General features: G+C 47.9%; 1 protein-coding gene across 5 annotated transcripts in view; it reads left to right on the forward strand.

Annotated features, from left to right (window-relative positions):
• The window catches only part of CTCF (CCCTC-binding factor), a 76652-nt gene extending 71005 nt beyond the window's left edge, over positions 1-5647 (forward strand). For 3 of the 5 annotated variants that reach the window (NM_006565.4, NM_001191022.2, NM_001438968.1), the window contains 2 exons: positions 3160-3321; positions 4158-5647. In NM_006565.4, coding sequence (NP_006556.1) covers positions 3160-3321; positions 4158-4342 — 347 coding nt within the window. In that variant the 3' untranslated portion in view covers positions 4343-5647. The remainder of the gene's footprint in view (positions 1-3159; positions 3322-4157) is intronic. The other 2 variants (NM_001438969.1, NM_001363916.2) reach the window with 1 other exon arrangement.

Below are 9541 nucleotides of genomic sequence, written 5' to 3' on the forward strand. Positions count from 1 at the left end.
AACTTGACCTTAAAAGAGAATCAATAATAGTTTCAAAAGAACTCTTGCTACTTACCTTAGTAAATAGGACCTCACAATGCGTAAGAATTTCTGGCCAGGCGTGATGGATGAAGCCTGTAATCCTAACACTTTGGGAGGTCAGGAGTTAGAAGCTGCAGTGAGCTATGACCGCACCAGTGCACTCCAGCCTGGGTGACAGAACAAGACCCCGCCTCAAAAAAAAAGAAAAAGAATTTCCGTCTTGTCCCCTGACACACACACACACACACACACACACACACACACTCTCACTCACTCACTCTTACCCTTCCTGCCCACTTAGAGATGAGCAGAACCACATCTCCAAGGGTCCATTTCCGGCTTAGTGTCCTGCTTTATCCTGGTATAGTAGGTAGGGGGATCATGAGAATTTGAAATTCGGTATTGTGTTGAGTCAAAAAAGGGTCTAAAGCTAAAAGGAAAAAGTAATAGCCAATCCCACATAAAATGTGAATAATAGTATTCAAGTCGATTTGCTTCATTCTGCTGTAATACCTGTTTATTATATTAATCCTGATAGCAAAAATTCCAGCAAAAGCATTTTTATTTATTATTTTTTGGAACCTCACACCCTGCTCCCCTAAAAGCATTTTTAAATGGGCTTTTGTTTTGTTTTTAGTTTTTATTTATTTTTGTTGTTATTTGTTTGTTTTTCCCAGACAAAGTCTTACTCTGTCACCCAGGCTGGAGTGTAGTGGAGTGATCTCAGCTCACTGCAACCTCCGCCTCCCAGGTTCAAGTGATTCTCATACCTCAGCCTCCTAAGTAGCTAGGATTACAGGTGCCCGCCATCACAGCTGGCTAATTTTTGTATTTTTAGTAGAGATGGGGTTTCACCATGTTGGCCTGGCTGGTCTCAAAGTCCTGACTTCAGGTGATCCACCCACCTCGGCCTCCTAAAGTGCTGGGATTACAGGCGTGAGCCACCATGCCCAGCCTAAATGGGCTTTTTTTTTTTTTTTTTTTTTACACAGGATCTCACTGTATCACCCAGGCTGAATACAGTGGTGAAATCACAGCACGCTGCAGCCTCTACCTCCCTGGCTTAAGCAGGCCTCTTGCCTCCGTCTCTTGAGTAGCTGGGACTACAGACACACACCACCGTGTCCTGCTAATTTCTTCCTTTTTTTTTTTTTCTTATTTTTTTTCCTTGAGACGGAATCTCACTCTGTTGCCCAGGCTGGAGTGCAATGGCGTGATCTCAGCTCACTGCAACCTCCACCTCTCGGGTTCAAGCAATTCTTCTGCCTCAGCCTCCTGAGTAGCTGGGATTACAGGTGCCGCCACCACACCTAGCTAATTTTTGTATTTTTAGTAGAGACGGGGTTTTACCATGTTGGCCAGGCTTGTCTCGAACTCCTAACCTCAGGTGATCCACCTGCCTCAACCTCCCAAAGTGCTGGGATTACAGGCATGAGTCACTGCGCTGGGTAAATTTTGTTTTTGTTTTTGTTTGTTTGTTTGTTTTTTTGAGACGGAGTCTTGCTCTGTTGCCAGGCTGGAGTGCAGTGGCGCAATCTTGGCTCACTGCAACCTCTGCCTCCTGGGTTCAAGTGATTCCACTGCCTCAGCCTCCCGAGTAGCTGGGACTACAGGCATGCATCATCACACCCGGCTAATTTTTTGTATTTTAGTAGAGACAGGGTTTCACCATGTTGACGAGGATGGTCTCGATCTCCTGACCTTGTGATCCACCCGCCTCAGCCTCCCAAAGTGCTGGGATTACAGGTGTGAGCCACCATGCCTGGCCACCTTTTGTTTTTTTGTTTTTTTTAAAGTAGAGACGGGGTTTCACCATATTTGCCAGGCTGGTCTCGAACTCTTGACCTCAAGTGAGCTGCCCACCTTGCCCTCCCAAAGTGCTGGGATTACAGGCATGAGCCATCACACCGAGTCAATTTCGTTTTTGTTTTTTGTTTGTTTGTTTGTTTTTCTCTGGAGACAGAGTTTCACTCTTGTGGCCCAGGCTGGAGTGCAGTGGCGGATCTCAGCTCACCGCAACCTCCGCCTCCCAGGTTCAAGTGATTCTTCTGCCTCAGCCTCCCGAGTAGCTGGGATTACAGGTATGCGCCACCACGCCCAGCTAATTTTATATTTTTAGTAGAGTCAGGGTTTCTCCATGTTGGACAGGCTGGTCTCAAACTCCCAACCTCAGGTGATACACCCACCTCAGCCTCCCAAAGTACTGGGATTACAGGTGTGAGCCACCACGCCCAGCTGCCAGTTTCTTATTTCTTGTAGAGATAAGGTCTCACTATGTTACCCAAGCTGGTCTTGAACTCCTGAACATGAGTGATCCTCCAACCTCAGCCTCCCAACGTGCTGGGATTACAAGTGTGAACCACCGTGCCCAGCCTTAAATTGATTTTTCTTAATAATTGGCTGAGCATGCTGGCTCACACCTGTAATCCCAGCACTTTGGGAGGCCGAAGCAGGCAGATTGCCTGAGGTCAGGAGTTTGAGACCAGCCTGGCCAACATGGCGAAACCCCATCTCTACAAAAAATACAAAGATTATCTGGATTGGCTGGGCACGTTGGCTCATGCCTGTAATCCCAGCACATTGGGAGGCCGAGGCAGGTGGATCACCTGAGGTCAGGAATTCAAGACCAGCCTGACCAATATGGTGAAACCCCATCTCTACTAAAAATACAAAAATCAGCCAGGTGTGGTGGCGTATGCCTGTAGTCACAGCTACTCAGGAGGCTGAGACAGGAGAATTAAACCCAGGTTGCAGAGGTTGCAGTGAGCTGAGATCGTGCCGCTGCATTCCAGCCTGGGCGACAGAGTGAGACTCTGTCTCAAAAAAAAAAAAAGAAGGAAAAAAAAATTACCTGGGCATGGTGGTGCGTGCCTGTAGTCCCGGCCACTCAGGAGGCTGAGCCACGAGAATTGCTTGAATCTGGGAGGCAGAGATTGCAGTGAGCCGAGATCGCGCCACTGCACTCCAGCCTGGGCAATAGAGTGAGACTGTCTCAAAAAAAAAAAAAGAAAGAAAGTGTATATATATATATATATATATTTATAAAACAAGACTTCAAATAATATATAATTGTTTTCTTTCATCTTCCACCACCCTTCTCCTTGCCCCACCACCTGTGCTTCCTGATTTCATGAAAAGAAAATGCTGAACCAGATCTGGACGACAATGAGGATGAGGAGGAGCCTGCCGTAGAAATTGAACCTGAGCCAGAGCCTCAGCCTGTGACCCCAGCCCCACCACCCGCCAAGAAGCGGAGAGGACGACCCCCTGGCAGAACCAACCAGCCCAAACAGAACCAGCGTAAGTTGTTCATCTCTGCTCTGGAGGCTGGCGTCTTCTCCGAGCATGTGGGGGAGCCAGATGGGTCCTTGTTCTTTGGGGATGTGGGAACTAAGCCATGAGAACAAGTTAAGGGCATGTCGAGAACAAACTCTCAGGAAATGGCTTTTTAGGAGTTTTTACTGAGGAACATCTGAGGAAGTCTTTAGAGGCCTGTTACATTTCAAGAAGAAGTCCAGAGTAGAAGGGTACTTGTGTTCTGCAAGATGGGTACTGTTAATGTGGGCGGGTTTTGAAAAACAACCAAAGTCACAGTCAGCTGGCAGAATGGATGCGGTAATGAATATAAAAGAGCCAAATCGTAAAGGTTGGAGAGGGAAAGCAGTTTCTGCACTGAGATTGCCCCTTCTAAGAAACTCAGGGTCAGGCGGTGGCTCATGCCTGTGATCCCAGCACTTTGGGGGGCCAAGGCGGGAGGATCACCTGAGGTCAGTAGTTCCATACCAGCCTGGTCAACATGGTGAAACCCCATCTCTGCTAAAAATACAAAAATTAGCCAGGCGTAGGGGTGGGCACCTGTAGTCCCATCTACTCAGGAGGCTGAGGCAGGAGAATTGCTTTAACCCGGGGGGCAGAGGTTGCAGTGAGCTGAGATCATGCCCGTGCACTCCAGCCTGGTCATAGAGCAAGACTCCGTCTCAAAAAATAAAATAAAAAATAAATTGACTGTCTCTGGACCGCTATCTAATAAGGCTGTCCTGCATTGCTGACATCCCGTTCGCTGTCAGTCTAAAAGACCCTTGTGATTCTTGGGGCTTTAATGGACCATTTGTTCTGTCTGTGCTCTTCTTTGCCAGCAACAGCTATCATTCAGGTTGAAGACCAGAATACAGGTGCAATTGAGAACATTATAGTTGAAGTAAAAAAAGAGCCAGATGCTGAGCCCGCAGAGGGAGAGGAAGAGGAGGCCCAGCCAGCTGCCACAGATGCCCCCAACGGAGACCTCACGCCCGAGATGATCCTCAGCATGATGGACCGGTGATGGCGGAGCCTTGTGCGTCGCCAGGACTTCTCTGGGCTGTGTTTAAACGGCCCGCATCTTAATTTTTCTCCCTTCTTTCTTTTTTTGGCTTTGGGAAAAGCATCATTTTACCAAACATACCGAGAACGAAAACTTCAAGGATGATGTTAGAAAAAAATGTGATTTAACTAGAACTTGCTGTCTGATGTTAGCAAATCATGGAATGTTCTGAGTCCCTGAGGGTTTACTGTGAAGTGCTGAGGACAGTGTTGACAACTAACTCGTTTTCCTAGATGGAAACGGAGACATTGACCCCTCCCTCCATGTGGTAAACCACTCCAGAATGGCCACCAGGCTTCCCAGAGTTCTATGGTCTTCTTCCCAAGAGAGTTTTTAATTGTAAATGCATACTTGGGAAGGACTTAGAGTTTTAAACTGTTTTTTGCTTTTGCTTTTCCCTGACTCCCTTTGCTTGGAGTCAGCTGCACACCAGTAGTATGGCATGCTACGATCAGGTTCTGTCCTGAAAGCTTTGCCTCTTTCTTGGCAAAGTTTCTGGTATGGTCAAGCTTGTAAATAACTTTTTTTACATTTTAATCTTTTCCATTAATTAAGAGGTTGAAAAGAAGTGCAGTGTAAGAAAACCCAGCATTTTAATTACTTGCAAATTAAGTTACCACAGACTCTGTAGTGTGTAAATGTTGACAAGGAATTGGATCACAATCATGTAGCAGAATGGCACCCAGACCACTGCCCACCAGTGACGGACATGCACGTGGCAGATCATGATTTCCAGCCCACGGAGCCAGCATTTGAACCTTGTATAATTAACTTTCAGTTATGATTTCCCATCGACATTTTCTTTGCCCTGTTTGTAGCTGATTGTTGTGTTTTATAAATCTTCTGTTAAGGCAGAAGGGTGATTATGAGTGGTTCACAGCAGCCCTTATAAGCTGGGCCAGAAAATTTCACTAGGTCAGTAATTTAAACCTTGGATCTTCAAAAAATAAAATAATGTGAAGCAAAACCAACTAAAAAGTGATTCTTGCACATGAACTGTCACATGTTTAAAAATGTGTTTTTTAGAGAGCCTCAGTCTTACTGATTTCAAACACTTTTTTCTTCTGTGTATTGCTTTTAAGAGAGCCATCAGTTAGCTATCAGACTCTAGGTTGATGCATTTTGTACTTAGCTGTACTGTGTGATATTTTTCATTATTTTAGGACGCCAACATGAGACCTGTAATAAAATATGTAATGGGGTTGAAAGCTGGGGAGGAGGATCTACTGCTGTACAGCTAATAAATCATAACGGATTAACAAGTGCTCCAAAGACTCCATCTTGCGTGATTCCTGCCTGCTTGAGGGAGGCTGGGGGGCTGCATACATGGTTCCAGGCTGTGCAGGCTGCTGCCTTTCACAGGCAACCTCTGTTCCCTGGGATGGTACTTTCTCTAGCAGATGGGACGATATGATCTTGGCGGGTGACTGGATATTGAGCGCATCCTGCTGTAACTGTTTTTTTGTTTTGTTTTGTTTTGTTTTGTTTTGTTTGAGATGGAGTCTCGCTCTGTTGCCCAGGCTGGAGTGCAGTGGCGCAATCTCAGCTCACTGCAACCTCCACCTCCCAGGTTCACGCCATTCTCCTGCCTCAACCTCCCGAGTAGCTGGGACTACAGGCGCCTGCCACCATGCCTGGCCAATTTTTTGTATTTTTAGTAGAGACTGGGTTTCACTGTGTTAGCCAGGATGGTCTCGATCTCCTGACCTTGTAATCCGCCTGCCTAGGCCTCCCAAAGTGCTGGGATTACAGGCGTGAGCCACCACACCCGGCCCCTGCTGTAACTTCTTAACTCCCCAAAATGTGTGTCTAAGTAGACAGGTGAGTAGATGGACAGCAGCCAGCTTCCATGATCCACTTGAGGAGTAAGTGCCCCATGCACAGAGTAGATGGGGCGTAGAGCTGCTTAGAGTGAAAGGGGCTGAGGGGAAGCTGGTCTACTCAGGCTCTCAGCTCAAGGAGGCCTAGGATCAGATGTACCTGGAGCTCTGCCAGGTGTGAGGGAACAGAGAGGAGCTGGGCCCAGTCTGCCCTAGAGAAGTTCATTTGAAAGGAGAGACAGATGCACAACCACCGAGTAGTGAAGAGACCGTCTTAGATAATAGAGCTGCCTGGTAGCACTTCAGGAAGGTGGTTGGAAAGGGAGTTGTGTCGTGTTTGGAATCTTAGGCGTGAGTGGAAAATTATCTTGCTGCTGCTGCCATTCCTAGGCAGATTGCTTTGGCAAACCCACTTGAGGTGAAAGCTTAAACCACTTGAGTTTTTTAACCTAAATTCCAACTTAGGAGTTGTCAATTAGAAGTAACAGAGCAAAATGTGTGAAGCTTTTAGCTGGCTAGTGCTGTCCACACAGATGGGTCTCCCAGGAAAACGACCCAGGGCCTCCTGGGGCCTCGGGACTCAGCCAGGCAGTTAACTCGTTGGTCTGAAAGTTAGTGGTCTCAGGCTGTTGGAGCTTGAGTTCTCTATCCCATCCACGGGTTTACCCGCCAGGGTACCCCCTACCAGCCAGCCAAAACTTTTTTTCTTTTTTTCTTTTTTTTTTTTGAGACGGAGTCTCGCTCTGTCACCCAAGCTGGAGTGCAGTGGCACAATCTTGGATCACTTCAACCTCCACCTCGGGTTCAAGGGATTCTCCTGCCTCAGCCTCCTGAGAAGCTGGGATTACAGGCACCCACCACCACACCTTGCTAATTTTTGTATTTTTAGTAGAGATGGGGTTTCACCATGTTGACCAGGCTGGTCTGGAACTCCTGACCTCAGGTGATCTGCCCGCCTCGGCCTCCCAAAGTTCTAGGATTACAGGCATGAGCCACCACACCCGGCCCCAACTTTTTTTTAATTCCAAGTTTTTTTTGAGACAGGGTCTCACTCTGTCACCTAGGCTGGGATGTGGTGGCACAATCAGCTCACTGTGACCTTGAACTAGGCTCAAGCAATCCTCCTACCTCAGCCTCCTGGATAGCTGGGACTATGGGCCATGCCATCACACCTGGCTCATTTTTGTTTTTTTTGTTTTTTTAGGGTTTTTTTTTTTTTTTTTTTTTTTAGAGATAGGATCTTGCTATGTTGCCCAGGCTAGTCTCAAACTCCTGGACTGAAGTGATCTTCCTGCCTCAGCCTCCAAAAGTGCTGGATTATAGGCATGAACCACCATTCCCAGCCACCTAAGCATATATAACCTCTTTGCAGAACAATGAGGCTCAGTTTTTCTGTATCTTCATTCAACACAGCCTGTCATTCCTGATTGTATACATTCTGTTTGAAAGGTTTTTGTTTGTTTGTTTGCTTGTTTGTTTGTTTTGAGATGGAGTCTCGGTCTGTTGCCAGGCTGGAGTGCAGTGGCGTGATCTCGGCTCACTGCAACCTCTGCCTCCCAGTTTCAAGCAATTCTCCTGCCTCAGCCTCCCCAGTAGCTGGGAATACAGGCACGCACCACCACACCTGGCTAATTGTATTTTAATAGAGACGGAGTTTCACCATGTTGGCCAGGATGGTCTCAATCTCCTGACCTCATGATCCGCCCGCCTCGGCCACCCAAAGTGCTGGGATTACAGGCGTGCACCACCATGCCCGGCCCTCTGTTAGAAAGTTTAAAAGTTTAAAAGTAGCCTCCCAGCTACTTGGGAGGCTGAGGCAGGAGAATTGCTTGAACCCGGGAGGCGGAGGTTGCAGTGAGCCAAGATTGCGCCACTGCACTCCAGCCTGGGTGACAGCGAGACTCCGTCTCAAAAAAAAAAAGTTTAAAAGTGGATTTGTTTTAGCTGGAGAGGGGGCAAGAGAATTGACATCCTGATGGAGTTAAGGCTGAAAAGGGATCCTCCTGCTGCATAGCCCAGGATGCATCCTGTCTGTCCCTTAATTATAAAACATTCAGCAGCAGAAGCCAGTTGTGTTACTGCTTCTGTTGACAGGGAAGTTCCTGAACCTGCATGCAGCTCCCTCAGTGTTAAGCCACAGAAGTAAAGAACCTTTGCCCCTTTCACCCCTAGGCTGGCATCACCCTATTGCTGCCCAGCTCAGCAAGTACCTGAACCCTTCTCTGACTTGTCAGGACCTGGTCTTTGAAAATCATCTGTGGTGAGCCTTATGGCAGCACCAAGGGGGCATAGCCCGGCCCACCTGGGAGGCAAGTCTCGCCCTCAGCCTGTGCTACCCAGAGCAGGCGAGGCTGATGCTCTCGGGAGCTTTGACATTTCCTGAATGCCCATGGAGTGGCATGCCATCCAGAACACAGACGGGCTTGAACAAGCTGACAGCTTCTCACTGAGTCACTGTCACTTGTAAGAACCGAGTCCCATGTGTTCACTTGGTCTCTGAGATCAGGTTTGCTGTGTTACTACCTCCCTGACCACCATCAGCCACGTGGCTAGCCCTGCAAGCCTGTCCAGATCTCTTAGTTGTCCCTGCCTGCCCCCATGTGCTCACACACACAGGGACTGGCCCCACTGGCATCGCTGCAGCCTCCAGAGGCCCTCCACCTGGGCATGGCTCCAGCCCTTTTGGCAGTCACTCTCATTTCTCTCTCCTCCTTGTCATTCTAAACAGAAAAATCCCAGTGAGGTGGATTTTCTGCCATTCTGTTTTGGAATCCCTGGGTTGTCATGGTAGACTTGGCAAATGTGAGTGTTATCTGAGTGCCAGGCACTGTTGCGGGCACTTCCCTTAATAAACATTGAATCCTTTGAGCAAGGCTTGAGGTTAGTTAATAGCTCCGGCTTACAAACAAAACTGGAAGACCAGAAAGGCTAAGCAATGTGTTCAGTGTCAAAATCTAGGCAGTGTGCCTGCAGAACCTGCTTTTTTTTTTTTTTGAGACGGAGTCTTGCTCTGTCGCCCAGGCTGGAGTACAGTGGTGAGATCTTGGTTCACTGCAACCTCTGCCTCCTGGGCTCAAGCAATGCTCATGCCTCAGCCTCCCCAGTAGCTGGGACTACAGGTGCCCACCACCACGCTTGGCTAACTTTTTGTATTTTAGTAGAGACAAGGTTTCACCATGTTGGCCAGGTTGGTCTCGAACTCCTGAGCTCAGGCGATCCACCTCGGCCTCCCAAAATGCTGGGATTATAGGCATGAGCCACTACACCTGGCCAGAACCTGCATTCTTGGTTCCTTGGCAGTACTGTGTGAGACCTACTGAATTGTCACCCTACAAGCAGT

Source organism: Homo sapiens, chromosome 16 (assembly GCF_000001405.40).
Source record: "Homo sapiens chromosome 16, GRCh38.p14 Primary Assembly".
Taxonomy (NCBI): domain Eukaryota; kingdom Metazoa; phylum Chordata; class Mammalia; order Primates; family Hominidae; genus Homo; species Homo sapiens.